Source organism: Homo sapiens, chromosome 13, assembly GCF_000001405.40.
Source record: "Homo sapiens chromosome 13, GRCh38.p14 Primary Assembly".
NCBI lineage: Eukaryota > Metazoa > Chordata > Mammalia > Primates > Hominidae > Homo > Homo sapiens.
This window is the reverse complement of record NC_000013.11, coordinates 35,495,333-35,522,119: the sequence shown is the minus strand read 5'-3', so window position 1 is coordinate 35,522,119 and position 26,787 is coordinate 35,495,333. Positions and strand designations below refer to the sequence as shown.

The 26,787-nt window shown below is 35.7% G+C and overlaps 1 protein-coding gene across 15 annotated transcripts in view, besides 1 other annotated feature; it reads right to left on the bottom strand.

Annotated features, from left to right (window-relative positions):
* The window catches only part of NBEA (neurobeachin), a 730,467-nt gene that overhangs the window by 150,617 nt on the left and 553,063 nt on the right, over positions 1–26,787 (bottom strand). The gene's annotated exons all lie outside the window — the stretch shown is intronic.
* Positions 20,285–23,343: an enhancer, noted in NCBI's record as "VISTA enhancer hs1333". NCBI's record gives its function as "enhancer in: midbrain (mesencephalon)[7/11] | nose[6/11]" and the evidence as "EXISTENCE:transgenic organism evidence [ECO:0001131][PMID:17130149]".

Sequence of the window (26,787 nt, the reverse complement as noted above, 5' to 3'; positions counted from 1 at the left end):
TGGGTTCCCCTCATACCACTGCTCTACATCCCCTTGAATCCCTGCTGTTCTCAGAAGTGGTTCGCCTCTCTGTACTTTTGCACTCACTGTTCCTTCTATCTGTATGGAATGTCCTGCTCCTCTCTGTCTGACTCCCTGTTGATGGGTTCATATTTAAGAATCTTCCTATCTTTCTCCAAACTGGGTTGCGCATTCTTCTTTCTGAATAGTATACTGAGGAAAGGAGGAACCAAAATAGTTAAAGGGGAGAGACTTTTTGGAATGTATGTACCAACCATGCCCCCTTTCTCAAAAAAGCTTTCCCATACTCTCAGAGGTGTGTCCCTACTTCTTTCTGACCAGAGCTGATTTAGACCAGGGTGAACATTTGTTGCCGAGGCAAACCAACCAAATTCCCTCTCCTTGGAATTTGAAAGTGGAACTTTAGTTGGTAATGGAGCAGCAGTGAATTGCAGTCTCTGTAATGTCCCTGCAGTGACTTTTGGGTTTCTAGCGGGGAGATCCAGGGACATCTTATCTGTGAGGAGAAACAACGATGAAGCAGAAGCAGAGACAAAGAACCACGTGGCCCAGAAGGGGAGACATCCAGACAAATGGCTTTCCAATCCTCAGTTCCAGTCTCTCCTCAGGTTCTGCCTGTTCTTGTCATGGGATTTCATGAGCTACTCCTATTGCTTAAAATAAATGATCTTTTACATTAAGCTAGTTTGAGTTCTATTTCTTGCAACCAAATGATTCCTGAATATTCATACTTGTAATAATAATGGAATCAGAATTAGAACCTGTGGGTGAAATTTTGCTGCTTAAAGCCTATCGCATTTTGCCTTTTCCTGCAGGGTTTTTGACTAAGGAAATGTACATCAGGGGAACAATAACCAGATGTAAAACTAGGAACTTTTCATAAAAATTAATAGTAATGACTATAATATTAAATAGTAATTATTCATAAATATTAATAAAATTAATATCTAATATTATCCTCCCTTATTGCAAGGTTATCCTGGGAAGACTTGATCAATTCAGTGTGATTTGAAACCAAAACAAGGCCTCCAACACCCAGCAATGAAAATGCTCTGGAAAATGAGAGCAGAAATTTCCTTCCCATGGGAAGAACAACAAAAGCTTGAGTGGAATTTTCTTCTCTATGGACAAAGAAGGCATGTGAGGGAATAAAAGATTTTTTCCTCAATGAAAAATTTTCCTCATCAGTAAAGATATGTCCGAAAAAAGTTTCATTTATAGTATGTCATACATAAGTTTCAAGAAGAAGCTCTCAAAATGAAGTGATATAAAGACTTAGAATTTTCCAATAGAAGTTTAAAGGAGTCTGAGGGCTAAAGGGAGAGGACAGTTGTGAGACGCCAGAAGACTGTGTTCTTTTCCTCTTTGAGGTCAAAAGGAAAAGAAACCCTGGGTGAAAGTAATCTATAATAGTACTGGAAGAGAGAAATAGGGGAATCAATTCCTGAAGCTAGTTGGAAAAAAGAGAGAGAGATCACTGGTCACTTGGTTGGTGTCCCTCAGAGTTTCTGTGGCATGACGTCCTTGGCACCATGCTCCTGTAACCCTGGATACTCTAACCTTTTCCTCGCTAGCATCAGCACTGGCACATCTTCCTTCTCAACCTCTCTCCAGTCCCTTATCCTATAAAAACTTTCTCAGTGCTAATGAGAGGAAATGTTAGAATCTCGCTGGTATAGGAAGAGACATGGTTGCCTTATCTCAAGGCATTTTTTAACTGAAGTATTATTATACATGGTGACTATAGTGATACTAGGATAGTAGGCACCTTAGGCTTGGCTTCTACCTAATCAAATCACCAGGTTAAATTATGCTCTTCAAATCCAGTCACAGAAAGACAAATATACAACAGTTGATCTTATAGAGCAAGAGTCCCCAACCTCCAGGCCATGGGCTGGTACTGGGCTTTACAGCAGGAGGTGAGCCATGGGCCAGCAGGCGCAAACCCTGTTGTGAACTGCGCATGTGAGGGATCTAGGTTGGATGCTCTTTATGAAAATCTAATACTTGATGAGCTGAGGTGGAACAGTTTCATCCTGAAACCATCCCCACCCATGCCCTGGGTCCATGGAAGAATGATCTTCCATGAAACCCATCCCTGGTGCCAAAAAGGTTGGGGACTGCTGTAAAGAAGAAGAAAGTAGAGTAATAGTTACCAGAGGATGGGAAGGAGGTGTGGGGATAAAGAGAGTTTGGTTAATGGGTACAAACATACAGTTAGATAGAAGGAATAAGTTCTAGTGTTCAATAGCACAGCAGAGTAACTATAGTTAATAACAATGTATTGTATATTTCAAAATAGGTAGAATATTCAAAATGTTCCCAATACAAGAAATGATAAATGCTTCAGGTAATATCCCAGTTATTCAGATTTGATCATTACACATTGTATACATGTATCAAAATATCACATGTACCCCATAAATAGGCATAATTATTATGTATCCCTTTAAAATTTAAAAAAAATAAATGAATTATACTCTTCATTTCTTCTGTAAGAAATATTCATGTCTACATTACACTGAATGCTATTTACAAGGCCAAAACTATGTTAAAAAATAAATGAAACTAATATTTCATGAATGCCTAGAAAATCTGAAAATAAAAAGAAAATCTTTATAATCAAAAGCACTAGTATATGAACATTTGGGTATGTCACCATGATGGGTAGTAATAAGGTCAATGAAAGGGACTTGTATGATCCCACCTTTAAAAGTTTATAAGTTGAAACATAAAATTAGAATCATCTAATAGATGCAAGAAATTGAATAAAGAAATCCTAACTTATCTAAAACTTAGGAGTATCATTTTTTTGTATGAGTATGTGGACTAGAATTTTGAAATTTGGGTAATGTGAAACCAACAGAAAATTTTTACTTTTCCCCAAAACAAAGAATACATTTAAAAACAGCTTACAGGAAAGGAAGACAAAAGAAGTCTTGATAAAGGAAGTTTGGAGTTAAAAAACAAGAAGAAAAGAATAAATAAAGAGACACGTAGGCATAAGAGGCAGTCTGAGAGATTGCTTGAAAGGCTAAGTAGAATTGTATTAGTCAATCTGTTGATGTTTGCTTGCTTTTTCCTTTCACAACGAAGCATCAAATTTGCTTAATGCAAAGGGAAGAGAGGAACTAATTCTATTTGTCATGTTCTACGTTTGATTTGGACTTATGGTGAATGAAGAATTGCTCTCTTATAATCATCTGCACAGCAGCACATGCAGTGGAAAGTGTCAGCCTCTATGAGGTATCCTGCAACCTTCCCCCCACACCGCCCCAAATCAAAGCTCGGTAGGATGCAGAAAACATTCTCTCTGACCCAAATTATATCAATAATTGGGATCTTGTGACTGCTGCTAGCAAGTAGGGCAACCATGTGTGCTCAACCTGATTGGGCATTTTGCACAAAAGTAGAAAGATATTTTCCTTCCTTTTATAAAACTGCAGGGGGTATGCTTTCCCTAAGTTTAACAAGTAATACCATTCTAACCATCGTCTGGCATAATTATGACTAATGTTCCCTGCCTCCTCTAGTTTGAGGCAAATACAGGAGTTACAGTTAAGAGCTCCTGTCATGTAACATCTCTTTGCTAAGACAAGGATATGCAGAGCCATGTGGCACAGTGGAAAACCACAGACTTTGGCTTTAAACCATCTTTAATTCCATTTCCGGCTCTGCCATTTTACTGCTTTTGTGATTTGGAAAAAGTACCTTTGACTCTCAGAGTCTGCTTCCATATTTGTTAAATGGGGATAAATAGTACCTACATTTTATAGTTGTTATAAGGATTTAATATAATTAAGATTAAGATATATCTAAATATATAATAAAGTGCTCTAATTTCTCTTTTTAATTTTTTCCATATATCATACATATAACTACAAAGGACTGTTGGTATGAAATGTCATATGAAAAGAGCAGTATCTTCTCAAGGAAATAGTGACCTTCATGAAGGTAGGGACTTGCTCACCTCCATATATCCGGAATTAACAAAGTACCAAGGGAAGTACATGCTCATTAAATGGTAACTATTATGATAATAAATTGCAATGTATAAATGTAAATTAGGAAAGAAAATACATTCAAGAGTGTCAAATAATCAAAAGGTTAATATTAAATTTCAACATAGTAAAGGCTTTTTCATGTAAAAGAAAAAATATTTTAAAAATACTTGATTGAGACTGTCAGATAATTTTATTTAACTCAATTCAACAAATATTTATTAAGTATCTTGTAAGGTTATTCCAAGTACTATGTGTATAAGATACAATGGTTCCTGCCTTCAAGATGTTTACTGTCTAAGGAAGTGAGTAGACAACTATAGAAATAATAAAAGACAAACTACAATAAAATATATAGTAGAAGGTACAAATTGATTGGAGATTCAAAGATGTGAGAAATACACACGTTTGATTGGTTTGGGGCGAGCCTCTTACTAAAGATGATATCTGATAATGGGCCTTGAAGGATGGTTGATCTGCCAAAGATGGAGATGGGAGATAAACTCCAATAGGCTAAAGAGGTGGGAGAGGCTTCTGATGCTGAGCTAAAGAATTTCTAAGTAATTCAAATGGGCAATAAGGCCTGGGTGATTAGAATCACGACATCTTTTAAAATTGGGAAGTTAAAAGGAAATTAGAAAAAAGGAAAATTATGAGCTTGGTTGAGATAATCAAAGCATACTAAGAGCTAATCAACAGAGCAGGCAGCTAAGAATATAGAGCTGTAGAAGGAAGACAAGACTAGAGAAGTACCTTTGGGATTATCTGTACACAGTGAAAGTTTAAAGCACGAAAAGGAATTAGATCTCTATGGCAGAGAATGGAGGTGACTGAAAGGACATACCTTTGGGGATGGGAGAATATTGAGGGCGAGGCCGACGGAAGAGTGGCCAGGGAAGGGGAGCGGAGGACTTGGCAAGGAAGCATGTTTAGGATTTCGGAAGCTCAGTGTCAAATGTTATGCAGAAATCAAGGAATATGTGGGCAGAAAAAGGCCACTGAATACAGACATTTGGAGATCTAAAACATGGGATAGATGTAAAAAGACAGTATAATTTTGACTGTATATGTTAAGATATAGGATAGACAAGAGTAAGTGAGTATGTAGTAATTGAAAGAACATGATCTTTGGAACCAGGAAAATTTAGATTTGAATCCCTAACACTTCCCAGTTGTGAGCTTGGAGAAATAACTGGACATCTCTGAATTTGCTTGTCCTTTGTAAAACAGTGATAATGATATCTAACTCACTTAGCTATTATAACTATGTTAAGTTAGATAATATATACAAAGTGCCTAGAACAGTGTCTGACACATATTAAGTACTTGGGAAATGTTAGTTTCTTTTCCCTTACTCTACAGAAAAGATAAGGCAGAGGATGCTCCTTTAGTGAAGAAACATTTAAGATAATTTAAAAGACACATATCAAAACTAGCAAAATATCAAAAAACAGAATGTGGCATGAATAACAAATTAAAAAATCAAACAGCAAATGGAATGTAGATTGGATGAGGTATCTGAAGATGGTTTTATTCTTAGAAGCATCATTTACTATAAAATTACCTGGGTAGACTCATTTAATTTTCTGCTCCTCAAATTTCCCATTTATAGAACTAAAATGGAAATTCTAGTTCTGCTAATCAGAAAATGACAAGGATAAAACATTATAGGCATACAGAGAGACAGTATGCAATAAAATATAGCATTACTAGATGGTATATACGTGTAGCATTTAATAGCATTACTGCTATGCATGTCTGTGTATGATACACATTACACTCTTGATTATTATCTGGCTATCAGCCTTGCATGGGTCTCAATTCTGACTGACTCCTGAATCTTAATCCTTTGTTACCTTTCCTGAATATAGGAACTTGCTATGTAGACAAGGATGAAATGTAGGCTTCTTGTTCCCAAATTAATCTTTGAGTGAGTATCTCCATTGGATACATATTTAAGCTTGTAATATGATCATTTTATTTTTCTACTAGTCCAGCACACAGAAACATATATATAATTTAAAGTTTCTACAATGTTTAAGGTTAACTCCGTATCATGAGTAAATTATAATCAGAAGGGATTTCATGCCCCAAAAGGTTTCTTAGATTACAGCAAAACACCTGTGTTACCACCATTCTGCAACCAGAAGGATAGTGGTTGCTATGTTATAATTGCATCTTATTGTGTGTGATATAATATGTGCTTTGGAGTAATTGGCCCAATGAGAAGTTATAAGAAACAGGTAATTAAAAAAGATATAAATGGAGAATTTAGTATTTTAAGCTTTTAATTACTCACACCCTTCATTTAACAAAGAGAAAATATATTTAAATTTAAAAAAAAAAAACCAGTTACTACATGAAAGGGAAATGTACTTAGAAAATGGAGAGTAAAAACTGCTTATAAAATATATTGCCTTTTTAACACAATGTCCTCAGACTAATCAAAATAATAATATAATGGATTTTGAAATGTTTCATCACAGAACGTGATTCTCTAAATTGAAAATAGCAATTTTTTGGCAATGCATGGAAAAAACCATTTTGGTATTTTATAATTTTGGGTTTTAAAAGCTTAATTAATAATCAAAGCTGCCAAACACACATACATATATACACAAAGAATAAAACCTTCTGCTGAATTTTTGCTGTGATTTTGGAACATTCAAAAGGTAACAGTCATTATGTGTATTTTGATAAAAAGGGAGGTGGCTAAAAAGTGCCTTGTCAGTATCCTACTCTTTGCCAGATGCATTAAAATGCAGCTCTGAGCACCTTTTCCCCTCCTCAGTCTGGAATTTCAGGAGCAAAGAGTACAAAAGAGCTGATGAGCAATGAATGCTTCACCCTTCCTCAATTAATCTTGTCTCTCTACCTTTGCTTTTGCTTTCCCTCTACATGAAGGTAATAATGACACCCTCATCCATTATCCTTTTATCCCTGTTATTCTCGTGAAATTGCTTAATAATATGTTACAGATTCGTCTTCACTCACATAATTCTTCCTGTCATTTGCAGTATATCATCCTACAAACATACAGCCCACTTTCACTGCCCGTTCTTTGAAGATTATTGTCAGTGACATCTTCAGGATGCGTTTGGAATCTGGAGCATCATTTCTGTTGCAATGGGGAATTACACGGACTTATCTGTCATTGCCAAAAGCACAACAAGCAATTCAGTGTTAATGCAAAGGTAACACAGGTTTTTGTCATGCCGCCAGAACAAGAGCTCTTGTAAATTTATGCTAATGTAGCCCTTTTAGAGTTTAATAACCTCTTACCCTACTGGAAAAAGACCCACACATACACAAACACCTACAAATGCACACTGCCATATATTGGAATGATAAATGATCAACCGGTAATTATTTATTTTCGACCTCTTTTTTGTTTGCACTAATGTTAATTTTTCTTGGAGTATTACATAGATATGGTACAGAAAACAGCAAAAATGAACAGATTCCATTTCAATCACCAAAGTACTAAATTATTTTTGATGAAAATATTTTTTTCTCAAAAATTAATAAAAATTCCTCTATGACCACTATTTTAGTAGGCTTTTGCATCAAGAGTTCAAGACCCACTACAAATGAGCAGTTTTTTCTGATTGAGGGTGGCATTCCAGAGGGACCCAGGCAACCCAGCGTACATGCCAAGTCTGACAACACATGACAAGCTGGTCGGCGTGCAGTAATTTGACTAATTATACCGGATTAGAGCATATTAATGCAAGCTGTTTTCTCCAGAGTTAATGACCTGCTGACTGGGTTCTGTTAGGCCCCACTAGGTCTACAGGCAGCTAAAAAACAAAACCCTGTTTTGTAAGCCCTCGTCATTTCACATCAGCAAATGAGTATATCAAACTACTGAGCAGCAAAATGTAAGCGACATTTTGTCCGCTATAAACTCATGCAGTCTTCCCAACTTTCCACCTCAAGGGCTTCTTTTATATAAAATTGATGTCAGTTTCTTTTTTTTTTTTCTAAAGGAGTAGCCAAGAAGTAGAGTCTGGGGAAAAATAATTTTAGGAGTATGTTATTGTTGGAGGGCTAGAGGCTGCTGTTTTAGAAACGGGTTTATGTAGAAATAATTTAAAATGTATATTAATTTTATTACACTTCTACTACCTTCTCCATGACAAAGAATATGTTACAAATAGTTATGACAAAAAATGATTAATGTGTAATAAAATAGATTTTCTAATCTCAAATTATATTTGAAAGATAGTTCTAAACCCAATGGGAATTTTAGGTTTTTTTAAAAAAGTAGCTGGATGATTTAAAATTACTTAAATACAGAAAAATGTCACATACTATTATTTTCCAATACTTTGTCCATTTCTTTAAAATTTGCTCACATTTAACTAAAAACTAGCTGGAAACATGAACATGTTCCTGAATGTGTTATAATTTATATACTTTACATCTATACCTCACTTCTGAAAAGATATAAAGTGACTTACAGGAATATATAAATTATAATTCAAATTAGAAATATATTTAAAAAAAGGTGAAAAACAGAAAATGAATTCAGGTGTAAGTTGGATAATAAGACTAAAAAAGCATACCACAGAATCATTTAAACTTCCTGTGTTTGGGGCACAAATTTGTGAACTCCCAACAGGCAATGTTGAAAAAGAAGTAATAGGCCAGGCACGGTGGCTCATGCCTGTAATCCTAGCACTTTGAGAGGCTGAGGCAGGTGGATCCCTTGAGGCCAGGAGTTCAAAACCAGCCTGGCCAACATGGTGAAACCCCATCTCTACTAAAAAAAAAAAAAAAAAAAAAAAAAAAATTGCCAGGTGTGGTGGCAGGCGCCTGTAATTCCAGCTACTCGGGAGGCTGAGGCAGGAGAATCGCTTGAACCTGGGAGGTGGAGGTTGCAGCGAGCCGAGGTTGCGCCACTGCATTCCAGCCTGGGTGACAGAGCAAGACTCCATCTTAAAAAAAAAAAAAAGAAAAAAGTAATAATTTCACCACAAAGGTAATGAAGATAAAAACAAACGAGTTCAGGAATAATTGCACAATTATTTCCTAATACTAAAGCTAGAAATAAATTTATGCCAAGAGTTTTAAAAAAACCTGTATAGTATAATCAATAATGTCTTCAACAATAACCTTACACTGAGTTTCAAGGCTTACAATATTTCCCAAAGCACAACTTAGAAAAATCAATCCTACCATGAGGTAGTACAAGACAGCCTGCAGCTGCCTTCTGAGAGAAATGGGCTCAGCCACAGTTTTTGTGGAAGGAGGTCGACCTATGAGGACCGCAAGGTACCTCCTCTAGGCTGAATCAACGACAGCTAATCCAGAGGTTTGCCAATAGTCCGTGGTTTGGCCTGACTAAAAAATAGGAGTAGAATGAGTCAGATTCTTTCTGTAGAGAGCTAGAAAAAGGAAATGCAGAAAGAACTGTGTGGCAGTAGGAACTGAAGCTGAAATATCACAATGTACTGAGAGGCCAGGGAGCCAAGATAAGACTCAGGCAAGCTGAAAGTACAAGGAACCAAAGCTGTTTGAGTAAGCACAGGAAGATTATCTGTTGAGAAGAAGAAAAGAACGCTCAGAGATTAGCAGACCAAATGGTTTATGAAAGACAAACAGAGCAGTTGGTCCCTAAAGCTGACTCAGCTATTCCATTTTTAAATTCCAGACCATATATACCTATAGCATCTATTGCTTGAGGTAACTTGAATGAAGCCTATTCCATGCAACCAAAGATTTTAACCAGAACAGGGGCCAACATGAAAGTCCAGGTTGACAGTTTCTGCTATTCAGGTTTAATCCCAGGATACAGAATATTTAGGAATGAATGAACCCTTCAACCATCAGGTAATCCTCAAAAAATACTGTTTCATGCAGCCAAGATTTTAATTGATACTGGGAAGCTATGGGTTCACGATTTTACTTCCTGTTGTGTACCTGTAGTGCAAACACAACTAATGTGTGTTAGAAATTAAAAGCATGTGCTTTCACTGACAGTTCAAGACGGGTGAGTTTGATGAGTTCTTTTAGACATTGAGGTTTTAAAAATTCCTGAATAGAATATCTATCTTCAAATAGTCACTGCATAGCTTAGTCAAAACATACTTTAAGCAAACAAAGTAGAGTCAATTATAAATATCAAAACATCTCCACTGGACATTAAAAACAACTTTCAGTAGAGGTACTGACAGATAATACAATTTCCAACCATACTTTTTTGTCATTCTCCTAATTATTTGCAAACAGTACTCTCAGGTAAATAAATGAGGTAACTGCTATATTAACAATACACAATACCTAACTTCTTATATTACAAATAACAAGATATGGGATAATTTAAAAAATATTTGTAGAAGTTAAAAAATTAAAACATTATATAACTTCTTTGAAGAGTGTATTAACATAGGTAATATGATACAGTGTAATGCTGCCTTACTAATAGCAGTATATTTGACTATCTTTGCTAACTGCATATATAGAGAGATATCTACTTGCATAGAATACTTTAGAGTAAAAATATACATTGCAATCAACACCTGATGAGGGTTGAGAGATACTGGATGTGTGGATAACAAATCCAGTAATAATTATGCTAGTGATTATTTTTTCTTTCTTTGTCAAATGGGTTCCTTGCTCGAAAAATCTGTAATAGGTTCTGTACTTAATATTTCATTGTAGGTTTAAGTCAACTTTAAAGTACTTACGTGTTCTGAGTTGTATGTTATATATGCAACATACTGTTATATATTGATAATCACCAATAAATACATTATTTTAAAAGTCCTTATGTGGTTAAAAATTCTTTAAAGTCCAGTCATTGTAAGCAGAGAATAAAATAGGTATTCCACAGCAACTTGAACAATGCTTCCTGTGCTATATTGCTTGACAATTGCAGGCTGACTATGTGAATAAATATATCTCAAAACTAACAATGATTTTCAGGAATAGCCCAAGCTTTTACTTGAGTATTTATTTGAGTTTTTACTTGGGATTGCTGATATTTAAATGGATCACATTATTTTAAAAGAAACATACATTTCCTTCAATAGCAAACTTGAATGATGTACTTATAATCCACCATATTTTATTATTTTCATGTTTTCTACTTATTATTATGTTATCTGAAAATCCATTAAGAAGTCATAATAGGACTAAAATATTAAAATGAGGAAAATGAATTTTCCAGGTAAGATGGCATGATGTGTGGTGGCAAGCATTCTGGACATTAATAAGATCTCAGCTTTATTTCTTACTTCCTACATAGCTTTTAGATAAGTTAATAAATCTTACTGGACTTTCTCAAACTCTAGTTTTCTCCACTGTAAAATGAGTGCCTAACAAAATTGTAAGGACTAAATGAGATACTATACATGAAAGTTTCTAGCATAATGTTTGGTACCTAGTCAGATGCTCAGTAAATACTTCCTTCTTCCCTCTTTTACCTTCTTTCCCACCTTGCTTTCCCTTTCTTCCTTCTTTTTTATTCCTTTGCAAGTTGATTTTATTTTTCTGAGTCAAAAAACAGACAGTAACGTGTAATACGGTAAAAAATCTGGTGCAAGAACTATCTAAACATCATCCTCACACATCCCAGCGAGGTGGCTGGTGCATGGCAGGCCCTTAGTGTTAACACTTACAACACAAGGCAGATTACTTTTACCCAGATAGGTCAGAACAACAGAGCTGAAAAATTAAGTCAAAATATAAATGGACACTAAGGTATTTAATATTATTTTCATGTCATGGATGCTACAAAAATGCAAAACTATGTCAAGAATGACAGAAGAAAGAGCGGTTGTATGAGGCTGCATGTGTCCTTCCTTAAACTTATTTAAGTTGTGAATAAAAACCTCTCTAGAACACCTCACTGTTTTTCTTGATTTGTAATATAGGCCATGGAAACACACAAGTTCCATGGATTGTTCTTTCAATTCTCCATTCAAACGCTCACAGTCTTAATCTCCTCTACACAGAAATTCTGGAGTCACCTCTGATACAAACCCATTTCAAATGTTTTCAAAAGTATGTTGAGAATAATTAATAAACAGTTAGTGGCTATAAGGAAAAATCTTCCTCAGAATTTCATATTCAGATCAGATCTATTGACATTCAAAATCATGAAGTAGAAGTTAGCTTGAAGTCTGCAAGATGAAATTTAATAAACTGAAATGAGCTCCCCTTTTAGCTTGAAAAATGAAAAATACTTAATATCCTTAAGCCCTTGACAATCTGCTGAAACAACCCTTTTCATAGTGACTGTCGCCTTATTCAATTCAATGGCTATTTTCAGTCCCTATCTAGCTGACCCCTTCAGATTTGGCACTGTTCGCCGGTCAGTCCATCCTTCTTGAAACGCTTTTCTTGACTTCCACTACCACTCTCCTAATTTTTTCCCACTAACTCTCTATCTATTCTTTAAATGCCATTTGCAAACAACTCCTTCCTATCTTTAAAAGACTGGCATCTTTGTAATGGAAACAACACAGCAAAGGTTGCTGCCTAGGTACTAGAAGTAGAACACCACAAATGGCTTAAGCCGGTGGCCAAATACAAAAACTTAGAGGCCTCTCTCTGGCCTAGCAGACTGGGCTCTTAGCTTTTTTGCCATTTCCTTCAAATGGACCATTCATACATTTGCCCACGAACTTAAAGTGACTCTCCTGCCCCCATTCCCTTACATATACTGCTAGTTTCCATGCAAGCACTCACTCGCTCACTCTCTCTCTCTCTCTCTCTGACTCTACACACCTGCCTCACATGACCTGGGACAGAGAACTTCCCTCCTGACTCATGGTGCCTTCCCTGCCCAGGATCTATAAGTAACAGCTTTCTGAACTTATTTCCTGTTGTGGCGGTGTATCGAATTTGTGCCTTTCATTAGAAGAACCAGCTACCAGCCAGCTACCAGCTGGCTTTTCCCTAGGATGCAAGGGGGAACCACAAGGTTGGGTTTGCAGAACCATAGCCACGGTCAGGCAGGCATACGCCAGACACAGGTCAGACAAGAGACACAATGGCATCCGCCATTATAAACAGTTACCCATGGGAGGGACTCCTGGTCAGGGCTGGACAATAAGGCATCAGGCCATCTGCAGGTAAAAGGCATATCCATTGAAAGGCACACAGTAGACACTCATGTCCAGCTCCCCTTCCTTTCCCATTAGGGCATGATTGCTAGACACTCTGATATTGGAGCCCCAGTTTAGCCATGGAATCTCCAAACAATCCGCCATTCAACTCATCCAGTTCTGTGACTTCAGTTACCACCCATGTTCTGATGTCTCACAGATTTACCTCACAGATTTACCTGCAGCTGAGACCTCCACTCCCCTAGATCCTAGATCAGATGTCATCTGGGTATTACCACTGAAATGTCTCCTAGATTCCTTTTACTATTTCCAAAAGTAAAGTTATCACATCTCCTATACCCATTCCAGCACTACCTTCCTTTCCTCCAATGGTCATTCTGAATGAATGTTATCAACCACTCAGCCAGAAACCTGGCAGTCATCCTCTCTCTCACCTCCCACATCCAGTCAGTTCACAAATGTTATCCACTTTACTCCTGAAATCCACCTGATCTATCAATTTCTGTTTTTTTCACTGCTACTACTCTAGTTTAGGCCATTAAAACTCAGCATTGTTGTCATCCAATTCATTCTTCATGCTAACATTAGAGTAATCATTAATTAGAAAAGTAAATCTGCTTGAAATACCTTAATAGTACCTTCCCAATGTTTGTCAGTAAAATGTAAACTCCTCAAATATGGCTTATAATATCCCTCAAAACTGAGCACTTCCCTCTCTGGTCTGATTCTTGCCAGCATTCTGTCCCTTATACTTTCCCAATATATTGCATGTTTTTCAAATCCTTGAGTGTATCATGTTCTTTCTCATCTGCAGCCCTTCATATGTGATGGTCCAAGGATTGGCTTTAAAGTGAAACAGGTCTGGATTCTACTACCGTTTCTACCAATTTCTAGCCCTGTGATCTTAAGCAAATTACTTAGCTTTTCTGAGTCTCTATTTCTTCATCTACCAATTGAGATAATAATTCCTATCTTTAAGGGTAATAATGAAACAAAGTTGCATATGTAGGTGCTCCACAAGTGATAGTCACTTAATTATTTTAGATGGTGATACCTATCTAGCAGCAATTAATATAAAAGAAATACTGGAACTTTGGTTGACTCCAGTCAACACCATGACATGACTACTAAAATGATCCTTACAATCCTAGAATGAATTATGATGATGGAAAAGGGATAGAGCAATTCCATTGCAACACGTTCAATCAGGCCATTTCTGAGTATTTCATTGTACGGGGTGCATTCAAAATTAAAGAATACCCAGAAGAGGCTTATCTACATGGTAGCCATGGAGATGGTGACAAGTTAAATTCTGGATATATTTTGAAGTAGAGATAATGTGACTTGCTAAGAGACTGTATATGTTGGGTGTGAGAGAAAGAGAGAAGTCAAATTAACTCCAAGGTTTTGGCTCGAACAACTGGATTGAAAGAGCTGAAAGGAACTGTGATAAGAAAGACTGTAGGTACAGCAATATTTTGGGAATTGGGAAGGGCAGTGGAAAAGAAAATAGGAGTTCAAAACTAGACAAAGTAAGTTTGGTTTATCTATTGGACTCTCAAGCAGAAATGCCAGGTAGGCATTTGAATATAAGAGCCTGAAGTTCAAGAAAGAGAGTCAGGCTAGAAATAGAAATTTTGGAGTTTTCAGTATATGGAGGATATTTAAGCCATAAGATTACCAGGAGAGTAATTGTAAAAAGAAAAAAAAAGGTCCAAGAACTGAGCTTTGGGACACTCCAACATTAGGTGGTTGAAGAAAAGGAGAGAATTTTGGCAAAGAAGACTGAAAAGGAGAAGCGAGTGAGGTAGAACAGGAGTAGGGCATCCTGGAAGGGAAGGTCAGTTTCAATTCAGGATGAGGGTATGATAAATTATGTAAATAGAATAGAGATTGGCCTATGGATTTTGTAAAAGGGAGGTCATTGGTGACCTTAACAAAAGCATTTTCAGAGAAGTGTTGGAAGCAAAGCCTATGTTAAGTGGTTTTAAGACAAAGAAAGAAAGAAGTCATTGGAGATAGCTTTAAGGGGGACAAGGGGGACAGTAGCCAGAAGGGGAAAAATTAACAGGAGGTCCTTATTGCTATAAACATTCAAAATGGATGGATATTAAAAGGGATGTTCAAGAAAGGAGTCCTATAATGTAGAATTAGACCAGATGACTTAGAAAATACCTTCAAACTCTATGGCAATGGTTCTATAATTTGAGAAATGGTTTGGAGTTAAGAACATGGACCTAGGAATCAAACGAGCCCTAGGTTGAGTTCTTCTAACTGGCTCTATGACTTGTGACAAATCATGTTGAGGCTTTATTTATTTTGAAAAATTGCAATGAAATAATTTATCACAAATTCTAACTCAAAAATTTGTGGGGTAATTTACTTAGGATTTATCTTTTGACTGTGTTGTTGGGAATGAGTGAGGGACGGACAGAACACGAACCCACCTGACCCCTGGGCTGTTTTAACTATAGCATTTTGCTATCACAGTTCTTTGTAAGAATTTCAAATTACTCTTGCTGAATCAATACATTTGATTTCTCAAACACTTAAAAAACATAAGGCAGACTTATAAACCTAAAAAAAAAATTCTAAGTATTTAAACTACTGCCGTAAATAGTAACAAATCAGATTTATACATTTAATGGATGGGTCTGGTTGAGGTGGCTCACGCTTGTAATCTCAGTTCTATGAGAGGCCAAGGCACGAGGATCACTTGAGGCCACGAGTTCAAGACTAGCCTGGGCAACAAAGCCAGACCTATTCTCTACAAAAATAAAATATATATATATTAGCTGAGTGTGCTGGCACGTGCCTGTAGTCCCAGCTACTCTGAAGGCTGAGGCTGGAGGATCACTTGTGCCCAGGAGTTTAAGGCTGCAGTAAGCTAAGATCGTGCCACCACACTCCAGCTCAGGTGACAGAGTGAGAACATGTCTCAAAAAATAAAATAAATAAATAAATTTAATAGATGAAGTTGGAAATATATAAGAGAATCTGATGAATTAGTATGGATCTGGTGTTAAGTGATTAAAGGAATTTGATTTCTCAAACCTATCAGTTATTTAAATTTGAATTGAAGATTAATTGAAAGTAAATGGTGTTTTTATATGCAAAATATTTATGAGTAAAATCAAATCTGTAAGTTGAACATGCAGACTAAAGTAGAATGCTTTCTGTCTTTAAATCTAATTAATTTAAAATCAATTAATTGAATATTCATTAAAACACAAAGAACTTTTAAAATGTCCCACACACAAAAGATTTCCAGATATTAAAACTCATGGATACCTCTCATAGTATTTATTTTACTACATTAACCTTTTCGAGGAGAAAACTGTAGTTATTAAGGGAATGCATTTTTAACCTATTTCTTCAAAATTGTACTCTGGTTATTCCTTCTAAGATGGAATCACAAATTTAAAATATAGCTTCAGGCTTCAGCTTAGGCATAGATGTATCCCTAATATAACAGTTAAAAAGTCCGTATTTACGCTCATTACATGAAAAAATGAAGAGTTGAAGGAGAAATAATAAAACTGGACTATTTAAACAGTGACAGCTGATTACACTCCCAGTTCAGAATTCTTACTTCCATTTCTCACTTCCAATTCTCATACTCCGGAATAGGTCGCCATGGTTTAACTAAGTTTTACATTAACTGCGGAGCATCGTGAGCTAGTCTTTAAGCAACAAAGGTCAAAGGCCAAATACGTATCATTGAAATAATAGTTAGCTATTTATAGGTCTAAACTCAAACTCTATATGTCTATTGTCAACTAATTTTTTTTAAAAAGCCAGTTTTTACCTCAATGTTGGATTCATATGAACATAGTAAGCATGATTCCAAACAAGTATAGGTATGTTTTAAATAAATGCATATCTCAGTATGTATGCTAATGGCATAGCCTCTTTTAAAAATGTTATTTTGAATTCTGATTTCTGCCCACATTCTTTAAAATAATATATATTTTATAATATTTACTTTAAGCAGTAAATTAATACAAGCCAGTAATTTACTGAGATACAAATGAGGTTCCGATAATCGTAGCATTTTTATTTTATACCAAAAAATAAGCAACATTGCATTTAAACATGAAAAACATATTGGCTGGGTACAGTGGCTCACGCCTGTAATCCCAGCACTTTGGGAGGCCAAGCGGGGAGGACTGTTTGGTGAGCCCAGGAGTTCGAGACTAGCCTGGACAACATAGTAAGACCTCTGTCTCTACAAAAAAATAAGAAAATTAGCCTGGCATGGGGGCACGCCTATAATCCCAGCTATGATTGATCCCAGGAGGTCAAGGCTACAGTGAGCCATAATTGTGCCAGTGCACTCTAGCTTGAGCAACAGAGTGAGACCGTGTATCAAAAGAGGAAAAAAAAAGTTCCCTCCTACCTACAATATAAAATACTTAAATATTAACAATATCAGAAAAAAAGAAAAATAAGTAAATGAAAAGATTTTTATCTTTTATCTTTACATACTCAAAAACAGCAACTGCAGATAAAGTCAAGTGAAGTCCAAGAGTGAAGTGGGATGGGTGTGAGATGAGACAAAACGGTCTCAACTGTGGCAGCCTCCAAGTTGGGCATGCTCAATCTAAACAGGTAGGTGTTACTAAGGTTTCAGGGAAAGGAAGAGAAACAGTTTTAGTTAAGAACTGGTTAGATGTGTATTATATTACATAGGAAGAAAGCCACAAAACGCAGAGTTTGTAAACTGGCAGGCTTTAGGCCAAATTTTGCTTCAGATACGCTTTGCTTGGATTGCAGTGTTTTTGGTTGTTTTGTTGTTTGTAACTTCAATTAGCTGGCAACATTCTACAAAGGGATACTCCACATTCTGGTTTTAAAATCCAAAATGTTTCCTCTAAAACAAATATTCACTCATGAATGGATGTGAAGAATGTGAAATATCTCAAATATCCAACTGTAAATGAATATTCATAATTGCTTCTCTTCCTAGATAGCATAATATATATTTTATCAGGTCTTTCATGTAAAACTGTATTCTCATATTTTTACATAAATTTTGCACACTTCAAATCATGTATTTGTTCCTTTCTCTTAGGGAATAATCAAAATTGAAAAATAATACAATAACATTTAATATACTGAAGTCAATTTTAAGCTTACAAGCTATAGAGCACGAAGAAATAGTTTTAAAATTAGATTCTTTAAAACCAGTGTGATGATCAGTTAATCAGGTTAACAAAAATAAATAAGAATAATAATACCTATATTGACAAAGGAGCAATAACATAAATAATCCAATATGCTATTTTACATATTAGTACAAAATTTCTGAAGGGAAATTTGGAAGCAATTTGTATAGATGCCTCAAAAACAAAATGAAACAAACCATGAATTCTCAATACCAGCAATGCTACCTTAAGAAATGTATCCTGGTAAATGAACAAGTATACAAAAGAGTATTTACAAAATTATACAGTATTTAAAATAGAGAAAATATCAAAAAATGTTTACCTGTAGGTGATTAGTTATTATTAATATATGGTATTCATACAATGAACTGTTATGTAGCTACTAAAAGAAATAATGTAGATCAATACTTATTGATATAGAAATATGTTCATATTATATTTTTGTGTGAATAATGTGGGTTACAAAATAATCTTTATACTATGATCTATAAAAATTATATATCTACCTATATGTAGACAGATACATTGAAAATGTATAGTATTTTAAATTCTTATCTCTGGGCTGTTTGATTATCAGTAATTTTAATTTTATTTTTTATACTATTATATATTGACTACACTATAATATTTAAGTATTTAGCAAGTATTACTTTTATATTAGAAAAAACCAATGAGTACATTGGTTTTGAAAGCACAACAACATTTAATTCATTATAAGGAAAAAAATAAAGACTGATTGATAAAGGTCATTAGTGTGCAGTTTAAAAATATACCTTCGAATTTATATTGCCTGTGATTACACTGGAAACTAGTAAACATTTACATGCAAAAGACAATCATTTAAAAAAGTAATCATCACTTAATCCATGGGGAGGAGTTGTGGCTATTATCTTAAAAGATAAATGATATAATTGGCTAAATTTTAAAACTCATAAAACTTAATTAATAAAAAAAATCCAAAACTTGATTTTAAGCTTTCTAGTTTCCATTTATAGCTCCTTTGGAGCTATGGAGGGAAGCTGTGTTATGGACTCTTTTTCCCAAATCTATTTGCAGGCCCAAATCCCACGTACTGTATCAGACATAAGCACGGATGTGCTGCTAAACAAGCTGGTGCAGGGAGGGGAGGAGAATTTGCAGGGTTTACCAATTTCTGTTGTATAGATCCTACTGTCATAAGCAGATTTCAAGCTACCATAGTGAGGTCACTGAATGTACAGACCCACAAACCCCCAGAGGATCTGGTCCCAGCACACTGTTCATTCACTAGTGGAAGATTCCAATCTGCTTCCACACGGTAAGCAGATAAATCATGGAAAAAACTTTGTGGAAGAAAGAAAAGAAAAAAAAAAACCCAGGGAAAATATAATGAAGAAAAAGGAATAGTTTTAGAAGTCACTTGCTCATTCCTGTCCATAAATGTAACTTAAAACTGAGCCTAAAACTTTCCTTAGAAATTATAATTATTTATATCTCCTTCCAGATGCCCTTTTCTACATGTTCTTTTACCTAATATATTACCAGCACAAATTTCATTATGTTTGTAAATTTGTTGAGTTCGAAGCATATGCAGAAATATTTTCAGTTCTTTGGAAAGAAAATAAACAAAAATTTTTTATAGCATGATGTTTTCAAAAGGTTAGCCTAAGGTCACTTGCTTAGGAAAACTGTCTCTGAACTTGCTGACCAGATCACATTCCCCAATAAGAGCACATTCACAGTCGTAAGTTTACATTGTTTCCTGTGATTTCTGTCCATCTCTCCACTCCACTAAAGCCCCGGCAGGCAAGGTGGTATTGTTTGAGCTCTCTCTGCTGTTTCACTGGCTCAGTCCCTAGCACTAGCAGGTGCTTCAAAAATATTTTTAGAAATAAATACCTTTTTCTCTGTGGAAGGATGTTCACGTGTGTATATACACATGTATGCACACACACATACATACATCCCCTCTGACAATGTGGAAAAAAATCAGAGAGGGGATCTGGAATTTAAAAGGATTAATAGGGGTTCCCCGCCCCCGTCATATTGGAGGCTTTGCAGTTGCAGGAGGAGTCGAGGAAATGGAACTTGGCATGGAATGTATAGTTCCATCATCAAATGCTTTACAGACAGCAAGAATTACATTTACCATATATTAACTGTTTTAAGAAAGATAAATGTGTATTCAAAAGCATCACATAAAAAAGGTGAGGTAGGTTATTTATTAGTGCTGGAAGCTCTTGTGTTTGAAGCTACTGTGGTCTACATATAAACAAAGATGTAACTGAGTGCATATAATCAAGCCTGATTACTATTTACCAGGCTGACTTTATTACTCACTCTCAATTCTTTGCAAATCAGAGACTTTATAAAACTACAGCTTTGAAAAATAACAAGAAGACATTTACATTTTTAAAAATGGAGAGCCCAAATATTCTTGAGGATTAACAGTCATATATATCACAATGACAATAATTTTTTAATTGAAAATCTATGTTATCAGAAAGCAACAACAGTGGCTCACAATAGAGACTCCACTAAACATTTAGCTGGTATTTTCCACACGTTGCTCTGATGAAAAAGGGTAAGCAGTAAAAATGTGCTTCTGAGAGTTTTAAACCATATTGTACAGAAGTCACATCAAATTAATACTGAGGACCATTTAGAGCTTTTATTCTGAAAAGCTTTTGAAAGGGGATTAAACTATGAAAACTCTCATGATACTAAAGTACCTATTAATGGGTTGAGGAGGTAAGAAAGGAACAATGAAAGTGTTATTTTAGATAAATCTTTACTTTGTGTGTAGCAGCACAAAGCTTTGCTCAAGGGGCACAGCAACAGTTCTCTAGCGATATCCCACGCATGGAACTGCTGATTAGCAGAATTCTATTGTCTCTTCTTTTTAGAAACAGGTCATTTTCTTTAAACAGTAACATAATATGGCTAAATATAAATATATCTTGATGGTATGGACAAAGTGGAGCAAAATGCTATTCTACGTAACACAATTCTGAAAATACTATAGTGAACTCTGTTTTCCTGAATAACAGGTAACTGGTCTTTGCAAAGCCTCTAACTATTCTCCTAAAAATTAGTTTCCATTTCCTATGATAATATTTTACAGAACCAACAATTATGTTTTCAAAAAAAAAAAAAAAAGAAGAGCCAGGAAAGAGCACGAGGAGTGAGAACATGAACCTAGATAGTTGTCATCTCATCAAAAATAATGAATGCTCAAGAGGTTTCAACTTCATGTCTTCCCAGTCGTTTGTCCAATCACAACAGACTACCAGAAGAGAAAAGAGTAGGCAAAAAACACTCTTCTTTATCAGCCCCAGCTAGCACCTGTAACCTCCAAACAACTATATACCAGCTGATTTGACAAGGCAGCAACCCCAAAAGACAACTGGAAATGTTGTTGCTAGCCTGCTGAGCCTCCATCAGTAAAGGAGCACACCACACGGTGGATGACAGCTTTGTGTCTGTCCCATCCTGCAGCCTTTCCCCCTCTTCCCTGACACACAGTCATGCACTCACATAACAGTCTTATGGCTAATGATGCAAACATGAAGTGTAAAGTCTCTTTAATTTGACCCTTGTTAAACTCCTAATTGGATTGAAGCAGGCTCCGAGTGGAAAGCAACCCTGGATTGTTCAGGAAAGCTCTTGCAAAATGAAGCCCAAATTACAAAAGGCTGCTTGGGCTGCAGGACATCACAAAGAATAGGCAATGAATTGCAGCTGTCACTTAAGTTAAAAATCTAATCAATTGCCTTTTTTTAAACAGGTAACTTTTAGAACAGTTTCTTCATTGTGATACTCTTCAGAGTACGCTTGACCCAAATTTAATAAGCTGCTATTAAAGCAGAAGAGCAGCTGTAGAGCAAACACTGTAGAATGAGACTGTGCATTCAGAGTCTTAATGATTTTAAAATGACTACAACCATTGCTTCATTCATGAGGAACAAAGCTCAGGCTCTCTGCTCAACAATGTCTTAACACAAACTGTCTGAGCAGACAGCGTTCATTTGTCCTTCATGAACTGCAAAGGTCAGCTGCATGGCTGAGGATATCGCAACAGTTTAATTGTGTTTCTTCTGTAGGCAGTCTGAGGGGAGAAACTTAGGAGTCCTTGTATATGAAAACTAGCTTTTCTGCAAGGAAATATACAGCTTAAGTACAGAGACAAGCGGGTGCATGATACGCAGACAGGTGTAAAACATGAAGTAATTATAGAAGCTCAAATTAGTTCTTAGGCCTGAGGCAAAAAAGAGAACAGTGCCTGGACAAAAGGGAATAGCAAATAAGGGTAGCAAACAAAAAATGGCTTGAATGTGTAAATTAGCAAGAAAAATGAGACAGAAAAGCAGCTTTACTCTACTATTATTCCCCACATGAGAACAGAGCAGCTGAACATGATCAAGAGAGCTTTGGAGAAGAGAGGCAGGCATCAACACGGACTCCAAGCCAAAGAGTGGCAGCTCCGCACTTTCTAGTCAGTCACTCATTATGTGCTGAAGTGCTCTTGAGAAGTGCCTCTTATACTTGACCTATCATATTACTTCTTCTGTAAACACATAATCCCTGCTTGTTAGGTGGTGTCAACACTAGCATTCATTCACTATGGGAGTCTTTTTGTGAATAGACACTTTAGAAGTGCTGCCAAAACCAAAGAATTGACACCATAATAAAACAATTTGAATTTCAACCAGGTAAACAGATCTTATGCTTTGCTGTAAAATGCAATGTAAAAAGCATCACATCAATTTTCTCTCATTTAGAAAAAGAAAACCCAAAACAGCTTGCTATAGCAAGACTGTTTTCTTCTTAAAGTGATTATAATTAACTTGGGTTATAGAACCAAGGCCAGAAATAATACCTATTCTTCAATTGCCTGGTGTGGTCACACAAATTCCACTAAGTACTCTTTCTTTAAACAGCACCACCACACAAATCTCAACAGAAAGGTCATGAACACCTCATCAATAATATCAGAAAAGTATATGTCGTTTGTACCAGGCATAACTGAGCATAAGGTATAAGGGGAAAAAATTAATGGAGCATTTAGCACATTACATTTCCATTGGTGAAGACAGATATCATGTAATTAAACTATAACATGAATAAAAGATTTAATGTAGATAACTGAAAAATATGATTTTATTATTTTTAAATATACATTTTCTTATGAAGATTCAGATATGAAGCAAAAATATTTTCATTGTGCATTTGCATAAATTAAATAGTCAAGGAGAGAATACAATTTATTGAAGAGACTGGGACACTTTGTTTTTGAGCAGCTTTTCTTTAAGTTATCCTGATGATGTAGTCCCCACTCTCCTAGTGCTTTAAGAAAATCATTTCATCCTCTAATATTGCTACAACCAGTTCTAAAATAAACAAATCATGATGCTCTCATGTGGTATAGTAGCTATGTGTCACTATGGCTTATTCCATCAGTCATCAATGCCAGAGGACTCCTGCCTGTGGATCCCTTGTCCTAGGTACTACAAAGGAACCCATTTGCCTAGGGAGGAATAAATTGAACAGTAATTATCAATGATTTGCCATAGCTCATGAAAGATATATTGGTAACTCTTACTGGACATATAAAAAAACAAGATTAGCAATGAGAGATTTTCAACACAGAGAGGACTTTCTTTACAAGATGGACATTACAAGTGAAGTATTTAACCTATACATAAACAGTAAAATATCCTTATAAGCAAGTAATACTTAGTGCCTAAGAAAATGTCTACTAAGCATCTCCAATGCATTTCCTTTATGAAATTTGGTACATATGACCTTTAAAGAATAGAATTTTTGTGCAAATCAATACATGCTAAGATCTCCAATGTTAAACATCTACCATTAAATAATTTTGCCACTAAAATACCAATAGTGTTTGAGAAAAAGTCCAAATTTAAGCAACACATTCAAGGTAAAAAATAATAGCCAATATTACAAAGAATGTTTAGTAAGCTCTTAATATAAATAATCCATTCAAGTGGTTTTTATTCTAAATAGACTCTCTTTAAGCATTTGGTAGAAAATTAGTGGAAAGGCATAAAAATATTTGGTTATATAATATTAAATAAGATTATAAATACATAGTCTGAAATCTCCCAGACACCTGTAAGAGTTGATTCCTCATTTGCCTATCATTAAAAGAGATAATATACATGTCTTCCTCATTTTTGTACTTCAGGCAAGGTACTATCTAAATTGATGGGTCAAGTGTTACAAAACAGAGAAAAGACTGAAAGATACTGCACCCAGATTTATGCAGACCTTGCTGATATGCAAATTAATCTCTTGTAGGTAAACCAAATAATCTGGCTGCTAACTTCTTCAGCACTCTATAGATATCAGGTAGTTTACTGGAAGAATAATATGCTAAAATGTACTTCCAGAGTATGAAAGAAAGTCTAACTTACTGCTACAGTGTAATTTATGTTCTGAGAGAATATAGCAAATGAAATAATTTTTCTTATTAAAATCTTATTGAAAATTCCACTCTCCAGTAACAAAAACATTGTTTTAATGCAGATAAATATAAATGTTAAGAACATCTGGCAAAATAGATTTATATTTTTCAGTCCACTTTTTTGTATGTGTATATGAAATCATACAGAGTATAAGCACTTCCTCAATTTCTCCTACAGAAGGTTCCTTAGGCCCTGAGTGAATCACTTTAAGTGGCAATGTTCACAGCTTATGAGATAACCTATTGGAGGTGATCCTGGACTGGTGATCATATCCTTAATTTTTGTACAATCTGCATTTTGTTTTGCAGATTCTATTTTTAACTCATCTACATATCTAACTAAGCTATTTGCGTAATTCACAGTGCTTATGACTGAAGCATAGACTTAGGAGAAAGAGTTGCTTCATGGTTCTTTAGATTTGATAAAGTTAGGAAAAAGTTCCTTCCAAACCATAAGGAAGTTGTGCAATAATATATTTAGAGTTTGGTAAATTTGTTTGGGGGAAGGGAGCATTATTTTGTTGAGAAAGACATGAGATGTCCTGATTCAATATCTAAGTTCTAGCTCCAGTCCTGGGAGCGGTAGAGGTGCCTGCACACCAAGCTGCTCCAGTTATTAAGGCTTCTCCTTGACTTTTTGAGAAAAGACATATTGCAGGAATTAAACTTATCCTTGCTAGAAGAACAGCTATTAAAAACCACTGTTTGACTTTTCTTTTTCTTTTCTTTTCTATTCTTTTTTTTTTTTTTTTTTTGACAGAATCTCACTCTGTAACCCAGGCTGGAGTGCAGTGGTGACAATATCGCTCACTGCAGCCTCAACCTTCTGGGCTCAAGTGATCCTTCCACCTTAGCCTACTGAATAGCTGGGACCACAGGTGTGCACCACTATGCCTGGCTAAGGTTTTCATTTTTTTAGAGACAAGATCTCACCATGTTGCTCAGGCGGGTCTCAAACCCCTGGGCTCAAGCTAACCTCCTGCCTCAGCCAATCAAAGTATTGGGATTATATGAGTGAGCCCCCACACCTGGCCTTGTTTGGCTTTTCTACATAGGACTTTAAAAATCCAATTTAAGGAACACAATATATGAAAGTAGAGCCAGGCACAGTGGCATGTGACTCTAGTCACTCTCAACTACTTGGGAGGCTGAGGTGGGAGGATCCCTTAAACCCAGGAGTTTGTGTCAGGCCTGGGCAACATAATGAGACCTTGTTTTTTTAAAAAGGGAAGTACAATACTGCCTATATCTTACTGAACTGAAAAGTACAGTTATAATATTCTTCCTTATTTTGTGCTGTAACTTCCACCCAATTATCTTACTTGTGTCCTCTGGAAGGTCATGTATACATATTAATATTCTCCTTGCTATAAACGACAGGCTTCTTAGAGGAAACTATTATATCCTACTTCATCCCCATCTCTACCATCCAAATTAGACTCCTTAGTTGGGTACACTAGCCTCAGTTCTTTCAAGTCACATGGCATGGTTTCTATATCATTTATGAATCTTGCCTATCATCCAAAGTATTTGCTGTTCAGTTTGTCAACTGTAGAAAGATTTTTAATTCCATTGTGTCAAAAAATCTTTGTATTATTTTAATCCTTTTAAATTTATTGAGGCTTGTGTTATGGCCTGACATATGGTTTATCCTGGAGAATGTTCCATGTGCACTAAGAAATTTTGCTGTTCTTGGGAGTGTTCTGCAGATGTGTATTAGGTCTGGTTGGTTTATAGTGTTGTTTGAGTCTTCTATTTACAGATGTGCCCTGACTTATGATGGTTTGACTTATGATTTTTTGACTTTACAGTGGTGCAAAAATGATACATATAAAATACACTCCTCAATTTATGATGGGTTTGTCAGGATGCAACACCCTTGTAAATTGAGGAGCATATGTCCTTGTCAATCTTACATCTAGTTATTGTCTTCATTATTGAAAGCGGGGTATTGAAGTTTCCAACTATTATTGGATAATTTAATATTTCTTTTTTCAATTCTATCTGTTTTCGCTTTATGGACATTGGGCTTTGTTGTTAGGTGCAAATATATT